Source organism: Homo sapiens, chromosome 3, assembly GCF_000001405.40.
Source record: "Homo sapiens chromosome 3, GRCh38.p14 Primary Assembly".
Lineage (NCBI taxonomy): Eukaryota > Metazoa > Chordata > Mammalia > Primates > Hominidae > Homo > Homo sapiens.
In genome coordinates, this window is record NC_000003.12 from 51,772,479 (window position 1) to 51,795,177 (window position 22,699).

The 22,699-nt window shown below is 43.7% G+C and overlaps 1 protein-coding gene and 1 long non-coding RNA gene across 4 annotated transcripts in view; one reads left to right on the forward strand and one right to left on the reverse strand.

The window, feature by feature from the left end:
* Positions 1–22,699, forward strand: part of LOC105377087 (uncharacterized) — a 51,385-nt gene that overhangs the window by 17,841 nt on the left and 10,845 nt on the right. The gene's annotated exons all lie outside the window — the stretch shown is intronic.
* Positions 6,085–6,759, reverse strand: IQCF6 (IQ motif containing F6). Of its 3 annotated transcripts, none has more exons than NM_001368368.1 (2): positions 6,732–6,759; positions 6,085–6,513 (listed from the first exon to the last, which is right to left on the reverse strand). In NM_001368368.1, exons 1-2 carry the CDS (start codon positions 6,744–6,746, stop codon positions 6,145–6,147), a joined length of 384 nt encoding a protein of 127 aa, NP_001355297.1. In that variant the 5' UTR covers positions 6,747–6,759; the 3' UTR covers positions 6,085–6,144. The 3 variants fall into 3 exon arrangements, with proteins under 3 accessions (NP_001355297.1, NP_001137305.2, NP_001355298.1); NM_001143833.4 differs by having other exon boundaries at positions 6,695–6,759; NM_001368369.1 differs by having other exon boundaries at positions 6,675–6,759.

A 22,699-nucleotide genomic window follows, 5' to 3' on the forward strand; every position in this document is an offset into this window, starting at 1 on the left:
CAGTAGTCTAAATTTTCCTTTCTCATAGTATACTTGTCTGGTTTTGACATCAGTGCTTTGCCAGCATGATAGATAGTTGGGTGGCTTTCTATTCTTTCTATACTCTAGAATAGTTTGGAGTACTTGGAATGATCTGCTGTTTTACATTTTGCAGAACTATTCTTGGTGGCAAAAAGTGCCCATTGCTCACAATACCCATTTTATCCTTTAAATGTATATGTGTGTAGTATTTTAATTAGAGAGACAGAGGGCAAGACAGAGACAGAGAGAGAGAGCAAGAGAGAGAGTATGTGTGTGTGTGTGTGTTCTTTTTCAAAAACTTCATTATATCAGGGCTTTCTTACAGCTGGAGTCACAAGTCCACTTGAAGAGGCAGTTTGTAGAGTGGTTAAGAGCCCAGGTACTGGCATCAGATGCTTGCAGTTGAATCCTAGTAACCTCATCCCTTCGCTCCTCTGAGCATTTTTTTCTTCAGCATCCTCCCTCCTGCTTACCCTTCTCTTCTAGCTTTCTCCTTTCCAGAACTGTGGTCCTCTCTTGTCCACTGAAAGCATTTCTCCCACTCTCTTCATGATGTGAGCTTTCCTGGGTGAAGTTAATTTCTTTATCTTCATTTTACTTGGGCTCAGGAGAGAGGATTAAGTGTGTTTTAAACAGCTAAATTTTCTCTCCTGCTTTACCTTTTCTAATTTTTAGTTTCATCCTCCAGCTTCCTTTCATTTGAGGTATGTCCATGATAAACAACATATGGTTGGGTATTTTTAAAACCCAATGTGAGATTCTGTTAATAGACACATTTTACCCATTTCCGTTTAACACAGACTTATCCATCTTTGAGTTTTCTATCTATCGTGCTTTCTTATTATTTTCTTCCATTTCATGCTGCTGTTGAATTGATTGAGTTTTCCCCTTCATGTTTTTCTTCTGTTTTAGGAGTTGTGGCAGAGGCTGCTGATTGCCTCCCCAAAATCCACGTTCACTTCTACCTTAGAAATGGAACCTAGATGTAGAGGACATTGTTCTGTTCATCAACATTCTTGTTCTCTTTTCCTTTTTGGCAGGTGGGAAGATTGTATTTCCCTTCTCCTTGAGGTTAGACACAGTTACATGGCTAGTTGAGCCAACAGAAGAGGAGCCGAAGTGAAATATGACACTTCCAAGTGAAAGACTATAACTGCTGATGCTTTTCTCTCATCCCTGCCAAGAGCACAATCACAGAGGTTCATATCCATATGAAGGCAGTATCAGAGTGGAGGAGCTTGGAATGCTGAGCAAACACACGGAGGAACGCTGCTGTGGTGCATTACATGGACTCCAGCAGGCTTCGCATGAGTGACAAATACACTTCAGTCAAGCCACTGAGATTAGGCAGTTTGTCCTGCAGCACAGTCTAGCCTATTTGGATGTATCTGAGTTTAGTCATGGTAGCATTATGCATCCTTGTAGCTGGGAGGGTCAAGTAACAGTTCTAGCAAACAAAATATAAATTGAGGTGACTGGGCAAGTGAGCCTTCTAGGAAAAGCCTTTTAAAGAAACAAATTCAGCTGGCATGAGCAGTTTCTATTTTTGTCCTTCATTTTCTTGCCTGGAATGTAGACATGATGGCTGGAACTGTAGGAGTTATCTTGACAGCATGAGGACTAGGGTCCCATCCAATGGTGCAGTGTGGACAGAGGAAAGGAGATGGGACCCTGCTGACATCATGGAGCTGCCATACTTTGGACTTCCCACATCTGGGATTCATTTACGGGAGAGGAAAACAAACTTTTGTGTTGTTTAACCCACTGTTTTTCAAGTTTCTATTCCTAACAGCCCAGTGCAATTTTTAACTGTTATGGAAGGTACAGAAGTAATTTTAATTCTTCCAGTATTTATACTATTAGTTTTTCATATTTTTATTGTGGAAACTTTCAAACATATCCAAAAATACAGACAGTAGTCATCATCCAGCTTCAGCAATGATCAACTCATAGCCAATCATGCTCCACTCACATCCCCCACTTTCTCCTCCTGGGTTGATATCTATATATATATTACATATTTTATATATACATATATGTGTGTGTGTGTGTGTGTGTGTGTGTATATATATATATATATATATATATATATATAGAGAGAGAGAGAGAGAGAGAGAGAGAGAGAGAGAGAGAGAGATACTAGAGACAGGGTCTCACAATGCTGCCCAGGCTGGTCTTGAACCCCTGGCCTCAAGCAATCCTCCCACCTTGGCCTCCCAAAGTCCTGGGATTACAGGCGTGAGCCACTGCTCCCAACCCTGGGTTGATTCTTGCAACCGGTTCTGCTGCTGTTATGGGTGACATGTTGTTTATCCTCAATCCACCTCTGAGAAATGGACCTCTCTGTGCTCCACCCCTTGACCTAAACTCACCTTCTGCAATGCCCATGGTCCCTGCCTTGGCCTCAGGTGGCAAGGTCTTTATAGTCTGTGGCTTCTTGTCTCTATCTCAGGCCTCTTTGGGACCACCAGTCCTCTTGGCACTTCTTGCCTCCCCCATCTGGGGATCCCAGGGATCTTGGCTACTTACGTGCTCCATAGGGAAGTGTACAGGACTCAGTGGGAGCTGTCCCCAGACCCATCACTTAGGCATCTCCCTTGGCTTCTGCTTCCTTTCATCTCTGAGCTATGCAGTCTCCCCAGGTTATATTCTCAGATCTCCCTTTGCCTATTGGGGTGACACAAGGGAAAGAGGTGGAGGGCAGGGGCAGGCAGCAGGCTGCAGCAGTACCTCAGCCTCCTCACACTCTTTCTCAGGGTCATGCATGGGCTTTTCTTTTGTCTCTTCTTGTGTAGCTGGAAATTTCTCTGCCCTCTACCCCAACCCCCACCTCCTGCCACCCTCTGCACACGGAGGCTTACCAATAGGCTGCTAACACCTCCCGGTTTTCCCAGGACAGTCATGGTTTGCACTTGGTATTTCCAATGTATTTATCAAGATTGCACCTTTCACTCTCAAAATCTATGGTCACCTTTTTAAAGGTAAAACTCTATGCAAAGCTATTTGTTGACACTTGATATGAAAGCACAGCTTTGAGAGTGCCCAGGAAACATTTTTTCTTTCAACCCACTGTAGCTCTTCTACATAAGTGCCTGCTTCCACTAACTTGTGGACTTGAGCAAACTCAATTTTTTGAAACAAAGCTGATCGACTTTTTCACACTAAGCATTTCCACCCTGGCAGGGTGGGGATGGAGTAGGGTGGTGCCCTCCTGTAACATGGGTGTATGTGTGGTCAGCGGGATGCTGGTCAGTCCACTCAAACTGCCTGGCATGGCATGGCGGTGGCTGTGGTCATCTCATTTTGGATTTAGCACGTGGGACACAAAGAAGCAAAAGACAAGGCTCTGGAGACCCTGGGGCTGTGTGGTCAGAGCTGAGGTTGGTGATGTATCAGGTGGGAGGCTTGAAAGCATAGGGTGGGCACCCTGGGGACAAAGAGATGAGATGCCATCTGGGAATCCTTTCCCATTGGTGGAAGAGAACTGCAGGGGATGGGCCCTCACTTACTGAGCTACCTTCTTAGGGCCTCAGCAGGCTGGGCCAGTGTGAGGGCCAATGCAATTCTTTATTTATGGGAGGGCTGTGGGCACATATCTCTTGGGGACACCATGTCATCTGAGGGAGGAGCAAGATTGAGGATACTCGGTCCCCCTAGAGTGCTCTGAGATCTACTCCCATCCCAAAGCCACAAGCACAGCCTCCCCTTCTACACTTCAGTGTTTCAGCATATGATACGTGTTCTCAGAAAGAGTTCCTCCTGCAGCTCAATCCTCAGCAATAGTAAGGAGTGACAGGAAGGGCCTCTGAGGTCTGCCTCTGAGAGTCCCACCAGCAGCCTTACCCCTACTGAGGAGGGGAGAGTGGCTCCAGTGATCTAGGCCAACACTGGCCACAGACCTCACTGTTAAAGAGGAGTCTTTCTCCTGACTCCCATCCCATGCCTCACTCACCTCCTCTTCCTTGGGGCTCTCCAATGCCCACTGCCCACAGGTCCCGACCATCCCTAGCTTCTTAAGGCCCCTGACCACCAGCAGGACACCCAAAGTGGAGTGGTGGTGAAGGCTTTGGATGAAGCTTGGCTTTCTTGGGCTAGCCCTTGAGTCTCATTGCTCACAGTTGGGTGGTGCCATCTTCTTGAGATCCTGTCTATCTGGGACAAGAGGTCTCACTCATGTTCCCCTCAAAAGCCCCTCCCATTCAGCCCCCAGCTACCAAGCTGTGTCTTCCTGTTTCCAAAAGTTTTTGACCCAAAGTGGTGCTCCCACTGGATTCCTATTTCACTTGGCATTGTTAGCATATCAGAGAGCAGGAAGCCTTGATGACCTGTCTCCTGTGTTCAGCATGAAATTCTGTAGAGCATCCTCAAGTGGGACTACATGGGCCAGCTGAGAAGGGCTTAACTCAGCAGTTCCCAAACCAAGACTGCACTTTGGAATCCTGATGCCAGGCCTCATACCCGTCCAGTTAAAGCAGAATCCCTGGGTGGATCCAGGTATCATTATTTTTTTTAGTGTCCTAGGGGATTGCAATGTCCTATGTTGAAAATATATAACTCAGAGACTTAAACCATTGCCAATCCAGGTTTTAAACACCTCTCACTCTTGGGGTAGCACCTAAGGGGTTAGTCATGCAGAGTTCCTATTATGCCCAGCTGCAGACCTATCTAGTTTCATACCACTTGCTGCTGTGAGTAGGAGGTGGGCAGAGCTGTATCCAGCACCACTGAATGGGTTCCCTTGGAAGAGCGGGATTCAGTCAGAAAGTCCAGGTACCCAGTTGCTTCACTGCCACCTGCAGCTACTGCAGATGATGGGTGTCAGGCTGAACCCTGAGCCCTCACATCTGCTACAGCTGTTCTGGAGACTCACCCCCAACACACACACACACACACACACACACACACACACACACACGGATTAGGGAAAGTGTCACCCAGCTGCAAGGCATGAAGACCCCTGCACACCTCCCTTCCCACCGCTCCTGCAGGGCCCACCATGGAAAAACCCTGCGGAGGGTTGCAGACCTCAGACTTCTGGGATGGAGGTTCACACAAACATCTGAGGGACACAAGCTGAGAGTGAGGGGCCTTGGGCATGGATGACAAACCAGAGACAGTGAGAGACCACATGAGAGATGGTTGCGCCATAGGTGCCCAGAGACAGAGAGAGACTTAGCAAAGCAGTAGCCCAGCAGCACCCACCCAAGGCAGGCCCAGCAGACGGTGAGGCATCCTGGGGGGAGGCCAGAGAGGGGACATGGGGGTGGAGGAGGAGCACAGCTGCTTCTGAGGACATTATAGGATTTAGAGGCTGTGTGCCCAATGACCTCCAGTGGCAGAGGGACAACCCTTTCCCCTGCCTATCCCTAGTCCTCTGTTTGTTTACCTGCCCCCATGCCACCCCCACAACCATCCCCCCACAGCCCCCAAGTCTCTCTCCCCTCCCTGATCCCATGCCTGGTTCTCCAAGGAAGTGCCCAGCAGAGGGGAGGGAAGCCTTGTTGTTCAGCCCCAGGGTGGGCAGGCGGCAGGCACAGCTGCTGCCCTCAGCTCCTGCTCTGGCTTCCCCAGGGGCTGGCTCTGGCTGGCTGCTCCCTGACTCCCTTCCCCACCATAAGGCACAGCGTCTGTCCTGCTGTTGCCCAGCTGAAGTGCCATGTCCTCCTGGCTCCCTGCCAAGCACTCTGCCGGCCCTGAGGGCCTTGCCAAGCACAGGCCTGTGGAATCCTGGCCTTCCCAGCTGGCCCTGGCTGCAGCCAGATTCTCTGATCTTCTGATCTGAATGGAGATGCCTGGACAGGGGCTGCAGGAAACTAAAGCCCAATGCCTACTCCCACTGTGGAAGGGGCCAAAATCAGGCTGACTGAGGCATCATTGCTTGACCTGGGCCCTGGGGTCTCTCTTGGATGCAAGACTGTCCCGGTATGCTGTTAGGAACAGGGGCCTAGGTTGGTGACCTGAGGACAGGGGCTCTAGACCACACCAGGGAATCTTTCTGGGGGGAAGGCAGAAAACTTAGAGGCTGAACCCTCCTCCATGAGTCTAATCTCCAAAGGGCAAGTGTATGGTCAGTAAGGGTCTTTATTGGAAGAGAGATCCAGCCTCCTTGGCTCTGTCAGCGCCCTAGGTCATGAGGATTTCGATGTCAAGCTCCAGCCGGCTGGCTCTGACCTCATAGTGGCCCCGGATCAGGCCTCGGGTTTGGCTGGCATGCCAGCGCCAGTGAGACTGGATGATGCAGGCCGCTTGGCGTGCCTGGAGGAACCGCCTGCGGGCCTGCCACATTCGAACCTGTGCCTGCACCTTCACCACCGCCCACTCCTGGCAGGTATAGAGTCTTAGTGCCAGGCGCCGTCTTTGCTCCAACATCTTGGCCTGCATTGACCTCCACCAGCACTGGATGACCCAGGCTCTGAGTGCTGCCTGCAGTAACGTCCGGCGCACCATGTTTCCACGCCACCATGACTGAATCTTTATGGCTGTCTTCTCTAACTGATTGGGGGAAAGGAAAAACAGGGAGATGCTCAATGGGGGACCCTCCCCTCCTGTTCCTATCCCCATCTCTGATCTTGGGAGGAAAGAAGGCCTGGCCCAGGTGCCCCTGACTTCTTGTTTCTAGGGCCCATCCATCTTGTTTCCAATCCCCCACTCACATTTAGACACGGTTCATTACCTGTCAGGTAAGTCCCTACTGCAAGGGCCTTACTCACATTTTGCGTGTCCATGGCCTTGATCCTTAGGGTCCACTTATCTGTCACTTAGGCCACCCTTGTCTTTAGCCCCACCCTCAACTGTTAGTCACACCTCCATCATTGGACTCCGCCCACTTGCACACAAGACTCTACCTCATCAGGTCCCGTCTGCACGCATTTTAACCACATTTCTCTCTCCTCTTCTCTTGCTTTCATCTCTTTTGCTTTATTGATTCCCACCACTTTGGGAGCCTACCATTATCTCTTGCCTTCAGTTTATTTCTCAGCCCCAGTGGCATTCCTGATCCTCCTGATGGCAGTGAAGAGAGAGTCATGCAGCTTACCTACAAGGAAGGAGTTTTACTTTAAGCCTCTACTCATAGCCAATTTGGATTTCCTGAAGCTTAAGTGTCAGGGCGCCTGTCAGGGCCCGAGGAACGTGTTTACAGAGCTGTATATTTTTGGGTAAAATTTGTGAAAGCAAGATATTTCAGCTGCAATTGGAGAGGACCTCTGTCTCTCTTCCCTCTTACTCCCTCTGTCACTCACCTCCTGTTGAGTGGGGTGGAATGGCAACCTCTTTTGCCACGAGACTAAGGGAAGGCTGAGTTGGGATAGACTCAGTTTTTTTTTTTCTTTTTTTTTTTGAGACAGAGTCTCGCTCTGTCGCCCAGGCTGGAGTGTAGTGGCACAATCTCGGCTCACTGCAAGCTCCGCCTCCCAGGTTCAGGCCATTCTCCTGCCTCAGCCTCCTGAGTAGCTGGGACTACAGGTGCCCGCCACCACGCCCGGCTAATTTTTTGTCTTTTTAGTAGAGACGGGGTTTCACTGTGTTAGCCAGGATGGTCTCGATCTCCTGACCTCGTGATCCGCCCTCCTCTGCCTCCCAAAGTGCTGGGATTACAGGCGTGAGCCACCGCGCCCGGCCTAGACTCAGTTTAACAGCATAGATTTGTGTGGTTCACAGTCACCCTTGGGAACACATAAATCCTTGCTAGCCATTCTGCTGTTGCTGTGTTCATTCACCTTGCTCATGGCGTGAAGATGCAGGAACAGAAGGGCTGCTATCCAATAAGAACGTGTCTTCCAGTGCTGGCACCAAAAGTATTTGGGCAGGGGAGGAAAAGTAAATGTGAAAAGTATGGAACCAGAAGCCAGTCTGTAGAAAATTCTTCCTGTTATTAGATGTGTAAAACTATAAGTGGAAGATTCAAGTCTCATTGATGCCTGATTAAAATTGAAGCTCTCTCTTTTCAGGAATATACTTGACAATGCAATGATACAATTTTAAACATTTCCATACTTTTTTCTTTTCTTGGTGGGAATTTTGTGAAATAGAATTTATCTGAATTCCTGTGATTGTAGGGCACAACCAGCAGAGCTACTGTAAACAACGTGGAAGTCAGTGTGAAAAATCACATGCTTTATGCATACCAAATGTCAATCATAAGAATATTTCTGTAGACAATGCAGTTGTAAAATCATCCTATGAAGAAACATTAAAAGGTTATGCAGCTGAAATGTAGGAAAATATAGAGGTGGGTCAGTTAATTCATATAAATATTATGTTTGATGTATTTATCAACTTAAAAAATGTATAACTGTTGTAATTTCTTTTCTCATCTTTAATAAATACTCACTAATTTGACATCTCTAATTTTGTGTGCTTTTCTTAAAGTAGGCTTTCTAAATGATATGTTTTAGGTCCCACAAAACCTGGCTCTGTCCTGCCTCACTGTAAGAATGCAGTTGTGCAAGCAGATCTCCTGGGAGCTCACAAAAAGCTGTGCTTCTAGGATTCAGAATTAGCACAGGCCATTTTGGCTCTGGCTTTAGCACACATTTCATTATCCATTTTTCTGCAGGAAGGTTTGCTGGGTGCCCACGGCTTGTAGGGCCACACACTGTCCATGGCTTCTGTTTATATGTTTTTGAGGATCCTGCTGCCTCATATCATTGCTATGGCACTGCTCATCTGGGCATCTTACAGGTTCTGGCCCCACTGTCAAACAAGCAACCTTGGTAAACCAAGCATGTTTAAAGTCCTCAAAATAGTGGATCCTATTACTTCCCTTAATGACTGCCAATCTGGGTGAGCAAATGCTGGAACCAGCCATCTCAAGGGCCTTCACTTAGTCCCGGTGTCAGGCATCCACCCCTACAGGAGGGATCACTTAGTGGCCAGTGTTCTGGGAGCTCAGCCCTTCCAGGCCAGGTTGCCATGGTCAAGATGACACACTCCACCATTTCTCCCCCATTTTGGCCTGGTTGGGAGTTGCCATAATACCGTAACTTTGCTATCTTCTTGGCTGTCCCTGGAAAATCCTGCCAGAGTTCACAGTTTTGCAGTTGAAAGTGGCAGCAGATGGGGGTGGGGGTTAGACAAACTCCCTGAGTCTTACTAAGTTTTCACAGAGCATGGTCCTCGGTCTCTATTTCCTCACTACTTCTTCTCCAGCTTCCTGTTCTTTTCTTCTTGCTTGATATATATTTTTTTCTGATTATAAATATAGTACATGTCTGTTGCCAAAATTTCAATATGCAGACACATATAAGGCGGAAAGGGAATTTCCCATGAATTTTTTCCCCAGAGCTATTCTTTCAGATCTTATACCATGTATAACTGATGTAAATTTTCTAATAAAATAACTTACTTTTAATTAAACATGTAAAATATATTCTTGTAAAAATTTATGCATTTCAAAATTTACCTTGGCGATCAATATTTCCTCCTCTGCATTATTACTGGTTCCAGCTTGGAGGGTATCCTGGACAACTAGCTATGCATTTATCTATCTTGTTTTTAACTGTGCATTTATAAACACACTACATCCATGTACCTAAAAAATACATAATACTGTTTTTAGTGTGTTTCTGTGTATCTTTTTTAATTAATTGAAGTAATCATGTAACTTAAAATTGATTGTTTTAACCACTTTAAAATTCTAGCTTCTAATTTTATCTAATTTCGAAAAGAAACCCTGTACCCATTAAGTAATCATTCCCCATTACTTTTTCCCACCCTAGCCCCTGACAGTCACTAATCTGCTATTAGCCTCCATGGATTTGCCTATAAAAGACATTTCATATAAATGGAATCATACAATATGGGCCTTTTGTGTCTGGCTTCTTTCACTAGGCATAACGTTTTCAAGGATCTTCCATGTTGTAGCACGTATCAGTACTTCATTCCTTTTTATGGCTGAATAATATTCTACTGTATAGATGTACTACATTTTGTTTATATATTCATCAGTTGATGGGCATTTGAGGTGTTTCTAGTGTTTGGTGATTGTGAACAGTGTTGCTATGAACATTCTTGTATAAGTATTTGTTTGAACACCTGTTTTCAATTCTTTTGGGTATATACTTAGGAGTGAAATTGCTTGGTTGTGTGGTAATTGTGTGTTTAACTTTCTGAGGAAGCACAAAACTGTTTTTCATGCAGCTGAAACATTTTTCATTCTCACCAATCTCTGCATCCTCACCAACACTTATTACTTTCCTTTGAAAAATTATAGCCATCTTGAGTGTGAAGTAGTATCTCATTGTGATTACAATTTTCATTTCCCTAAGACCAATGACATTGAGTATCTTTTCATGCACGTGTTGGCCATTTGTGTACCTTCTTTGGAGAAATGTCTGTTAAAGTCCTTTGCCTGCTTTAATTGGCTTATTTGTCTTTTTGTGGTTGAGTTGTGGGAATTCTTTATATATGATGGGAAGGAGACCCTTATCAGATATATGATTTGAAAATATTTTCTCCATTCTGTAGGTTGTCTTTTCATTTTTTTCATAATGTTCTTTGTTTTAATTTTGTTGAGTCCAATTTATCTATTTTTTTCTTCGTTACTTGTGCTTTGGCATCCTAGCTAATAACTCATTGCCAAATCCAAGATCATGAGAATTTACCTGTGTGTTTTATTGTAAGGGTTTTGTAGTTTTATTGGTTCCATTTAGATATTAGATCAATATTGAATTCACGTTTGCATATGTTGAGGAAAGAATCCAACTTCATTCTTTGCATGGGGTTATCCAGTTGTCCTAGCACCTGTGTTGGAGACTATTCTTTCCCCTGGGTCTTGGCACCCTTGTTGAAAATCAATTGAACATAGGTGTACAATTGATTTTTATTTCTGGTCTCTCAATTCTAGTCTGTCAATCTATATATCTATCCTAATGCCAGGATAGATATCACACTGTCTTGATTATGGTAGTTTTGTAGTAAGTTTTGAAATGGAAAGTGTCAGTCCTCCAACTTTGTTTTTCGTTTTCAAGATCATTTTGTCTATTCTTAGACCCTTGCAATTCCATATGAACTTTAAGATTAGCTAGTCCATTTCTGCAAAGAAAGACAGTGGGAATTTTGACAGGGATTACAGTAAATCTGTAGATTAATTTGGGGAGTAGTCTTCCAACACACGAAGACGGAGTATCTTTCCATTCCATTTACATCTTTAATTTCTTTCTATGGTGTTTTGTAGTTTTCATTGTATATGTCTTTCACCTGCTTTGGTTAAATTTATTCCTAAGTATTTTATTCTTTTTGATGCTATTACAAATGGAATTGTTTTCTTAATTTCATTTTTGAATTGTTCACTCCTAGTGTGTAGAAATACACATGATTTTTGTATGTTGATCTTATATCCTGCAACTTTGAAGAATTAGTTTTTTAGCCCTAATAGATTTTGTTGTGGATTCTTTAGGATTTTCTTTATGTTTTTATGTATGTAAGGTCATGTTATCTGCAAACAGATAGTTTTCTTTTCTTTCTTTTTTTTTTTTTTTTGTTTTTGAGACAGAGTCTCACTGTGTTGCCCAGGCTGGAGTGCAGTTGTGCAATCTCAGCTCACTGTACCCTCCGCCTCCTGGAAGCAATCCTCCCACCTCAGCCTCCTGAGTAGTTGGGACGTGCCACTATGCTTGGCTAATTTTTTATGATTTTTGTAGAGATGAGGTCTCATTATATTGCCCAGACTGGTCTCAAACTCCGGGACTCAGGTGATCCTCCTGCCTCAGCCTCCCAAAGTGCTGATATTACAGGTGTGAGCCACTGTGCCCGGCTAGTTTTACATCTTCCTTTCCAATTTGTGGGCATTTTAGTTTTCTTTCTTGCTTAATTTCCCTGGCTAGAACTTCCAGTACAATGTTGAATAACAGTGATGAAAACAGACATCCTTATCTTGCTCCTGATCTGAGAGAAAAATCTTTCAATCTTTCACCATTAATTATGATGCTCATTGTGGATTTTTCATAGATGATCTTTAGCAGGTTGGAAAAGTTCCCTTCTATTCCTAGTTTATTTAGTGTTTTTATCATGAGAGAGTGTTGGATTTTGTCAAATTCCTTTTTTGCATCAATTGAGGTAACTGTGTGTTTTCCCCCCTTTAGTCTGTTAATATGATGTATGACATTGATTTTTGTATGTTGAACCTTCTTTGCATTGCTGGGATAAATCCCAGTAGGTCATAGTGTATAATCCTTTTAATATGCTATTAGATTTGAGTTGCTACTATTTTCTGAGGATTTTTGAGTCTATATTCATAAGGGATATCACTCTTTAGTTTCTTATAGTGTCTTTGTCTGGCTTTGGTAACAGGGTAATGCTGGCCTCAAGGAATTAGTTAAGAAGTGCCCCTATTCCTCTATTTTTTGGAAGAATTTTAGAAGAATTGGTGTTGGTTTCTCTTTAATGTCTGATAAAATCCACCAGTGAAGACAATCGGTCCTGGATTTTTCTTTATTGGAAATGATTTGATTACTGATTCAATCTCTTTACTTGATATAGAGCTATTCAGATTTTCTAATACTTCTTCAGTTGGTTTTGGTAGTTTGTGTGTTTCTAGGAATTTGCCCATTTCATAGGTTATCTAATTTGTTTATATACAATTGTTCATAGTATTATTTTATAATCTTTTTTATTTCTATAAAGTTGGTAGTAGTGTTCCCACTTTCATTTCTGATGTTAGTACTTTAAGTCTTATGTCTCTTTGCTTGTTTAGTGTAGCTAAAGGTTTGCCAATTTTTGTTGATATTTTTAAAGAATCAACTTTTGGTTTTGCTGATCTATAGTTTTTCTTAATTTTCTATTTAGTTTATCTCTGCTATAATCTTACTATTTCTCTCCTGTTGGCTTTGTGTTTAGTTTGCTCTTCTTCTAGTTTCTCAAGGTAGAATGCTATACTTTTTCTAGTTTCTTTAGGTAGAAGGCTATGTTATTGAGATCTTTCTTTTTTTTTAATGAATGTAGCCATTTGCAGCTATAAATTTCCTTCTGAGCACTGCTTTTGATGCATTCCACAGGTTTTTGCACATTGTGCTTTTATTTTCATTCATATCAAAGTAAATTCTATTTTTTTGTGATTTATTCTTTGACCCATCAGTTGTTTAGAAGTGTGTTGCTGATTTCCTCAAATTGGTGAATTTTCCATATTTCCTTTGATTGTTGATTTCTATGATCATTCCACTGTGATCAGAGAAGATATTTTTATGATTTCAATCATTTTCAATTTATTGAGACTTGTTTTGTGGCTTAACATATGGTCTATCCTGGAGAATGTTTTGTGTGTACTTAAAAAGAATGGGTATTCTGCTGTTGGATGAGTACTCTATATAGGTTCGATAAGTCTAGTTGCTGTGTAGTGATGTACAAATATTCTATTTCCTTGTTTATCGTTTGTCTAGGTGATCATCTATTCATTATTGAAAGTGGGATGTTGAAGTCTCCAACCATTGTTGTTGAACTGTTTATTTCCCCCTTTATCTGGGTCAGTTTTTGCTTCTTATACTTTGGGGCTCTTATTAGGTACATATATGCTTATAATTATTATGTATTAATGGATTGACTCATCATTATACAATGCTTTTGTCTATTGGAAGAATTTTTTGTCTTACATTCTATTTTGTCTAATATTAGTTATTCTCTAGTGTCCTTTCATTTCCACCAGAGGGACTTCCTTTACCCATTCTTAAAGGGCAGGTTGTGTAAGATCAAGCCAAGTGAACGGGTCAAACATTTTACCCAGAGCCAGAGAGGAAATGTTATAAAACTGGGTAAGCTCACAAAATACCTGTACTTGTTGGGCCATGGCCTTTAGATTGGTTTATACGTGGTCAGAGTTATTTATATACATGCAATAGGTTGCTCCTTAGATGGCGCAGACTCCCTCCCCTCTGCTCTGACCAGGAACTAATCTAGGGTGAGGTGATTATCTAATACCACCTGGGCTAGAGAGTCATGTGATTGTTGCACCAGGGTGAGACTGTGCTATATCAGATTTATGTGTTGGGACAGCATAGCTGACAAGTTTGTATTGACCTAAATGATTTGTTGCTGTGTTACAGTGGCAGTACTCATTACAGTTCCTGCTAGTGAATAAGCCTGCTCCTAAGAGTATGGAAATAAAAATAGCTCACATTTGTCAGAATGAATATGGTCTGGCTGGGAACCAAGGGGTCTTGGCTACTTGAATATAAGGGAGGGCCCAAAGACATTAGGTAGTGATATGGTTTGGCTATGTCTTCACCCAAATGTCAATTTGAATTGTATCTCCCAGAATTCCCACATGTTGTGGGAGGGACCCAGGGGGAGGTAATTGAATCATGGGGGCCAATCATTCCTGTGCTATTCTCATGATAGTGAATAAGTCTCAAGAGATCTGATGGGTTTATCAGGGGATAGTGAATAAGTCTCAAGAGATCTGGTGGGTTTCTGTTTTTGCTTCTCTCTCATTTTTCTCTTGCTGCCACCATGTAAGAAGTGCCTTTCATCTCCTGCTGTGATTGTGAGGCCTCCCCAGCCATGTGGAACTGTAAGTCCAATTAAATCTCTTTTTCTTCCCAGTTTCAGGTATGTCTTTATCAGCAGCATGAAAATGAACTAATATAGTAAATTGGTACCAGTAGAGTGGGGTGTTACTGAAAAGATACCTGAAAATGTGGAAGTGACTTTGGAACTGGGTAACAGGCAGAGATTGGAACAATTTGGAGGACTCAGAAGAAGACAGTAAAATGTGGGAAAGTTTGGGACCTCCTAGAGGCTTGTTGAATGTCTTTGACAAAAATGCTGATAGTGATATGAACAATAAGGTCCAGACTGAAGTGGTCTCAGATGGAGATGAGGAACTTGTTGGGAACTGGAGCAAAAGTGACTTTTGCTATGTTTTGGTGAGACTGGCAGCATTTTGCCCCTGCCCTAGAGATTTGTGGAACTTTGAACTTGAGAGAGATGATTTAGGGTACCTGGTGGAGGAGATTTCTAAGCAGCAAAGCATTCGAAAGGTGATTTGGGTGCTGTTAAAAGCATTCCATTTTAAAAGGAAAACAGATCATAAAAGTTCAGAAAATTTGCAGCCTGATGATGCAGTGGAAAAAAAAAACATTTATGGAGAAGAAATTCAAGCTGGCCACAGAAATTTGCATAAGTAGCAAGGAGCCTAATGTTAACCCCCAAGACTATGGGGAAAATGTCTCCAGGCCATGACAGAGAACTTCATGACAGCCCCTTCCATCACAGGCCTGGAGGCCCAGGGGGAAAAAGTGGTTTTGTGGGCTGGGTCCAGGGTCCCCATGCTGTGTGCACCCTAGGGACTTGGTGCCCTGTGTCCCAGGTGCTCCAGCCATGGCTGAAAGGGGACAATGTACAGCTCAGGCTGTGGCTTCAGAGGGTGGAAGCCCCAAACCTTGGCAGCTTCCACCCTCTGAAGCTGTTGAGACTGTGGGTGCACAGAAGTCAAGAATTGAGGTTTGGGAGCCTCTGCCTAGATTTCAGAAGATGTATGGAAATGCCTGGAGGCCAAGGCAAAAGTTTGCTGCAGGGCTGGGTCCCTCATGGAGAACCTCTGCTAAGGCAGTGCAGAAGGGAAATGTGGGGTTGGACCCCCCACACAGAGCCCCTACTGGGGCACTGCCTGGTGGAGCTGTGAAAAGAGGGACACTATCCTCTAGATCCCAGAAAGTTAGATCCTCTGGCAACTTGCACTGTTTGCTTGGAAAAGCCGCAGACACGCAACACCAGCCTGTGAAAACAGCCAGGAGGGAGGCTGTACTCTGCAAAGCCACAGGGGCGGAGCTGCCCAAGACCATGGGACCCCACCTCTTGCATCAGTGTGATCTGGATGTGCGATCTGGACTCAAAGGAGATCATTTTGGAGCTTTAAAGTTTGACTGCCCTGCTGGATTTTGGACTTGCATGTGCCCTATAACCCCTTTGTTTTGGCCAATTTCTCCCATCTGGAACAGCTGTATTTACCGAATACCTGTATCCTCATTATATCTAGGAAGTAACTAGCTTGCTTTTGATTTTACAGGCTCATAGGTGGAAGGGACTTGCCTTGTCTCAGATGAGACTTTGGACTGTGGACTTTTGGGTTGATGCTGAAATGAGTTAAGACTTTCAGGGACTGTTGGGAAGGCATAATTGGTTTTGAAATGTGAAGACATGAGATCTGGAGGGTCCAGGGGTGGGACAATATGGTTTGGCTGTGTTCCCACCCAAATTTCAACTTGAATTGTATCTCCCAGAATTCCCACATGTTGTGGGAGGAACCCAGGGGGAGGTTATTGAATCATGGGGGCTGGTCTTTCTTGTGTTATTCTTGTGATAGTGAATACGTTTCACAAGATCTGATGGGTTCATCAGGGGTTTCTGTTTTTCCTTCTCTCTCATTTTTCTCTTGCCACTGCCATGTAAAAAGTGACTTTCACCCTCTGCCAGGATTGTGAGGCCTCCCCAGCCATGTGGAACTGTAAGTCCAATTAAACCTCTTTTTGTTCCTAGTTTCGGGTATGTCTTTATCAGCAGTGTGAAAATGAGCTAATACAGGTAGGACACATTTGAAGTTACAGATTTGGGTCTGGACCCTGTTGTTCCCCTTGCATAAAGGGAGGCAGAAGTGGGCTGTGGGAATCAGGAGTGCATGTAATGAGTCCCAAGTTTCACAGGACCATGGTATACCCCATGGATGAATTAGAGAACCTGAAAATGGGCTATGTTACCCTAGGCCCCAAGAGGTGAAGTGACACTGAGCTCCCAAGTGTCTCCAAGTCATGTTAAATCTGGGTCAGATATGTAAACACAATCCCTGCTTGGGGTTCTGGAGGGGCAAATAACAACATGTATGCCTTGGATGCCAAGCAGTTGGGCTGTAATTTTGGGTTTTATGTTAGCAAGAGAGAGTGATATCTGTAGTGCTGGTAATTGTGCCAGACCAGGGGGAATTAGAGTAGCTCAGGGAACAGCTTTGGTGTGGTATATTAACAGGCCCAACAATTACATCTCCTGAGAAGCTTGGCTCTGATTTCATCCCACTGTGTTAAAATATTAGGACTATTAGGCTCATAAGGGGAGGTAGTAGTAGAGGGGCAGTCTGATCTCTGATGGTGTGGATGATCCTGCATTTGGGGAGACCTCAAAGGATGTGTCTAAGGTGTTGGGGGAGGAAGTGGTGAAGTGGTAGGTGGGGCAGCGGTGGTAGAAAAATAACTATCCCAACAGATGTCAAAATGTCTCCAATCCTGGAGGACCCAGAACTCAGTCCATCTCCATGTAGGAGGTGTGGCCAGACAGGGGATGGTTAGGTTAATTGGAACTCCAGTGAGGTGTGGGTAAGCACACATGACTTAGCCTGCCACAATTGGTGACAGCAGTCAAGAGTGGTCTGGCCAGTATCATGGGCCAATTGGTAGAATCACAGGCAATAATGTAAGCCAGGAGACTTCGTGACAGGGAATGCACTAGCTTGGTAAAACGCCCTTCCAAAGGTTCCTCCTCATCAGGGAACTTAGAAAGACAAATTTGAGTTCTGTAACCAAGTCCTAGATGGGGGGTGCAGGAGTTGTCAGTCATCAGTTGTCTTACCTTCCTGGACACTGTCATGGCCAAGGGTCCAGGTCAGGTAAAGGTGGTGTTGTCCCCTGTTGTCTTGGGCTGAGGCACTGTCGTCTTCTGTGTAGCAAGGTGCCACATTGTCTTGGGCTGGGTGCTATCATTGGAGCCATTTCCATCTCCAAGACTAGGTTGTCATCTCCTGACATTGATGATATCTACCAATTTTAGCACCTCCTCTTCTACAAGACAAGTATACGTCCCAGGTAGCAACTCAAAACAGGAAGATGGGGCACTGGGGGCCTACAGTGGTCCAATACATTTGGGAGGCGCTGAGCAGGCTATGTTTACATTGTTGAGACGGACTACTGAAATCACAGATTATAAGTAATCACTGAGGGTCCTTGAGGGTGCATTGTGCAAAGGCTTTGGAGGTGCTTTTTTTCTGAAGAGGAGGATATTTCCATCCATAGATAGTACACACTGCATGCATGGCCTTTGGCCAAAGAGAACACAATATATTGTGGAAATATCACCAAATCAGCTGGTATAGATCTAACCATTCTTCTTATTGACAATTAATACTCCTAATACTCCAAGGAATGGAAGTACCACTGTTTATGCATCCATTTCCTTAGCTATGGGTATTCTTTTGTTCATTGTTTTTATTTGCCACTACATATTGTGTGGCATAAATGTCTTTCATGTGTGTCATCACACACATGAAATGCTATCACTCAGGGCTTCTCATAGGACAGTGTGGCTTCTGGGCCAAAGGGTATGAAGGGTATGGGCCTATTAAATTTTAACAGATGATGCCAAACTGCCCCTTTAGAAAGCCATAATTCCACCAACCATAGTGTATGAGAACACCATGCATCTCTGCCAACAGTAGGCATTATCACACTTACAGATTCTTTTTAGTCTAAAGGGTATAAAGTAACATCTCATAGTAACTTTATTTTACATTTCTATTGCTACTGGGAGGATTGGGTATACTTTCATATGTTCATTGATAATATTAGGTTGGTGCAAAAGTAATTGCAGTTTTTGCCATTACTTTTTTTTGTTGAGACGGAGGCTCACTCTGTCACCCAGGCTAGAGGGTAGTGGCACGATCTTGGCTCACTGCAACCTCTGCCTCCCAGGTTCAAGTGATTCTCATGCCTTAGCCTCCTGAGTAGCTGGGATTACAGGCATCCGTCACCATGCCTGGCTAATTTTTGTATTTTTAGTAGAGACGGGGTTTCATCATGTTAGCCAGACTGGTCTCGAACCCCTGACCTCAGGTGATCTGCCCACCTCGGCCTCCCAAAGTGCTAGGATTACAGACATGAGCCACCGCACCTGGCCTATTTTTGCCATTACTTTCAGTGGCAAACCGCAATTACTTGTGCACCAACCTAATATATATTTGCTCTTCTATTTATATTCTTTTGGCCATTTTTCTATTGGGTTGTAGTTTTGTCATCCGGGACAACTCTACAGTCATTCAAACTGTTTATCTGTCATTTGTTTTGCAATTCTCCTTTCTGTTTTTTTTAACCTTTGCTTATGAAAGTATCTTTTGCCAGTGAAGCATTTCAGTCAAACATATCTCTTTTTTTTTCTTTTTCTTTTTCTTTTTCTTTTTTTTTTTTAAGATGGAATCTTGCTCTGTGGCCCAGGCTGGAGTGCAGTGGCGTGATCTCAGCTCACTGCAACCTCCACCTCCTGGGTTCAAGTGATTCTCCTACCTCAGCCTCCCGAGTAGCTGGGACTACAGGTGCATGCCAGCACACCTGGCTAATTTTTTGTATTTTTAGTAGAGATGGAGTTTCACCGTGTTAGCCAGATTGGTTTTGATCTCCTGACCTCATGGTCTGCCCACCTCGGCCTCCCAAAGTGTTGGGATTACAGGTGTGAGCCACCGAACCCGGCCAAACATATATCTTTTCTTTCCTAGCTTTTGTGTTTCCTTTCTGGTCTAGAAAGTTCTCCCACACCTACAGGTCATACAGTATTGTCTCAAACTTTGTGGAGAGGGAAATATTGATTACAGATAAAATCTAGTAAAAGGGAGGAAAGGAAAACATCAAGAAAGTTAATTAGGACATCCAGGAGAAACTATGCCCATCAGCTAGAGCGTTGAGGTGAAAGAGAAAACAGGCAGGGGGCAGGCAGCAGGTAGAATGGTTTGTCTCCTGTTAACCGCAACAGCGAGGGATCCAAGGCCCAGAGGAAGGTTGCACCTGGAGCTGCCCTCTCTCGCAAATTCCTCTCCCGGTTACTCTGGCACTAGTATCCCAACCTCCATGGTCATACAATTATAGTGAAAGAAACTTTGTGGAAATGAGCTAACGTCAGCAAGAGGAGGGCTCCTGTGTCTGCTGAGCTCTGCACCATGGGAGGCCTGCCAGGTGATGTGTGGTGGTGTCAGGAAGGTGCAGACTAGAGGTCCCCAACCTTTTTGACACTACAGACTGGTTTCACAGAAGACAATTTTTCCATGGACGGGGGTTGGAGGGGATGAAACTGAAACTATTCCACCTCAGAGCATCAGGCATAAGATTCTCATAAGGGTGTGCAACCTAGATCCCTATGCGCAGTTCACAACAGGGCTCACGCTCCTATGAGAATCGAACGCAGCTGATCTGACAAGAGGCAGAGCTCGGCCGTAATGCTCACCTGCTGCTCACCCGCTGCTGTGTGGCCCCATTCCTTACAGGCCATGGACTGCTACGGTCCCTGGCCTGGGGTTTGGGGAGCCCTGGTGTAGACTAAACCTCGGGTGTGGAAGGGTTTGCTCGAGTCCACCAGCTGGCAGGCAACTCCTAGCTGTTGCTGGCCAGAGATCTCCTGCTGCTGCTACACATCCAAGTTGGACACCCCAGGAACTGGGAACAAGGGCTTTAAAAAGTGGGTGCCCCTCTCTCTTAGGGCCCTTGGAAGGGTCTGAGCTATCCTGGCCCACATCTCATTGCCTGATCATCCTGTCAAGAGTGGGCCATCCAGAGTGTGCTGGAACCGGTTGACTGGGAATTGGGAGTCAGCCACCTCAGGGGTTGATTTTCCAGTTAGAGTTTGTCTACCAGGAATTAATGTTGACATGTGTTGAGAGATGAGGGGTCCAACTTTATTTTTCTAGATAGACCCACTATTTATTAAAGAAGCTGTGATTTTCCCATAAAAATGAAATACCACCTTTATCATTTATTAAATTTTCATATTAGTTGGGGTCTATTTCTTTTTGTTTGTCCACTCTGTTCTGATCATTTGTATGTCTATTCCTATTGTTTGGGGTACAGTTACTTTAGAGTGCTGAGTCTGGGCTCCCTGTCTATTCTCTTTTTTTTTTTTTTTTTTTTTTGAGATGGAGTCTCACTCTGTCACCCAGGCTGGAGTGCAGTGGCACAACAGCTCACTGCAACCTCTACCTCCTGGGTTCAAGCGATTCTCCTGCCTCAGCCTCCTGAGTAACTGGGATTATAGGCGTGTGCCTCCACACCCCACTAATTTTTGTATTTTTAGAGGAGTCGGGGTTTCACCATGTTGGCCAGGCTGGTTTCAAACTACTGACCTCAGGTGATCTGCCCACCTCGGCCTCCCAAAGTGCTGGGATCACAGGTGTGAGCTACGGTGATGGACCCCTGGCTGTTCTTTATTAATGATTTCTTGGTAACTGGATATTTATTTTGAGAGAGATGCCTTTGTATCATTGCGTATAATTAAAAATCCATTGGTATTTTATTTGGGATTGTATTCATTATATATTTGCTATCATAATCTATTCTCTCTCTTGCAAAATACGTTAATAATCTTACCATCTAAGGACATTTTTCCGATCCTGTTCTGTGTCTTTTAATTTGACCTACAGGTTACTTCATACAGGTTCCGTATTTAATTGATTGCCAAGTATTTAACAGATGTGGGGTTTTTTTTTTTACTATTATGGATGGATATTTTATCCAATTCATTTTTCATTTGGCTCTTGTTAATACAGAGAAACACTATAGATTTTTGTGTATTTATTTTTTATTAGACCACATACCAAATTCTCTATTAATTTCTCTATTTTGTCCTCATTAGATTCTCTTGGAATTTCTAGGTACCTTATTATTATTTTTTATTTTTATGGGTACATAGTAGGTGTATATTCTAGGTGTATTATATCAGCAGCAGAAAGAAATAATTTTTATCTTCTTTTCAAAATGTATTCTAATGTTTCCATTTTGCCATCCTGTTGCATTTGCTGGAACCACAACAATGTGTATAGTGATAGTAGAAGGCATCCTTGTCAGGGTCCTAATTTTAATTCAAATGGCTTTTTAATGGAAATGGTGCTCTGTCATCCAGGCTGGAATGCAGTGGCAAGATCCTTGAGCTCCTGGCCTCAAGCACTCTTCCCTCCTGGGCCTTCCATAGCTCTGGGATTACAGGCAAGAGCTACTGTGCCTGCCACCACCACCCCTCCCCCGCCACCACTCCCCCACCCCACCGCTGCACCTTTTTTTTTAAACAATTTAGAATGCTCCTTGCCTAAAAAAACCAAAAAACCAACAAACTAGTCTCCAGTTTGTAGCAGTTTCTTTCTATTCTAGTTTTTCTCAGAGTTTTATTAAGATTGGCTGCTGAACTTTATAACCAGCATTTTCAGCATATATTAAGTTGATCAGGGGGCTTTTTGTTTTCCCTTTAAATTGTTCATGTAAAGACATATGACTACCTTTTCCTGATGTTGAATATTTCTGGAATAACCCTTATTTACTCTTACTGTCTTGTTCTTTGGACACACTGCTGGATTCTATTTGGTAATGTTCAATTTTTTTACATTTACATCTGTATTGATTACTGAGATTGGGCCATAGCAGAGGTCAGCAAATTACTGCCCCTGGGCCAAATTCAGCCCACGACTCGTTTTTGTACATCTCACGACCTGAGAATGGTTTTTACATTTTTTAATGGTTGCGAAAAAATTAAAAGAAGAGTAGTATTTTGTGACAATGGAAAATTATATCAAATACAAATTTCAGTGTTCATAAATAAAGATTTATTTGGAACACTACTGCACTCATTCATTTACATATTGTTCGGAGTGCTTTTGTGAGTGGTAGAGTTGAGTACTTGCAAAAGAGACTGTATGGCCCCAAACCTAAAATATTTACTATTTGGCTCTTTACAG

Excerpts from the sequence above, each read along its gene's own strand:
- IQCF6 (NM_001368369.1), bottom strand. The coding sequence starts at position 6,746 with ATGGACACGCAAAATGTGAGTAAGGCCCTTGCAGTAGGGACTTACCTG. Across the intron at positions 6,514-6,674 it reads GTAATGAACCGTGTCTAAAT|TTAGAGAAGACAGCCATAAA; the intron begins GTGAGTGGGGGA and ends TCCCCCAATCAG.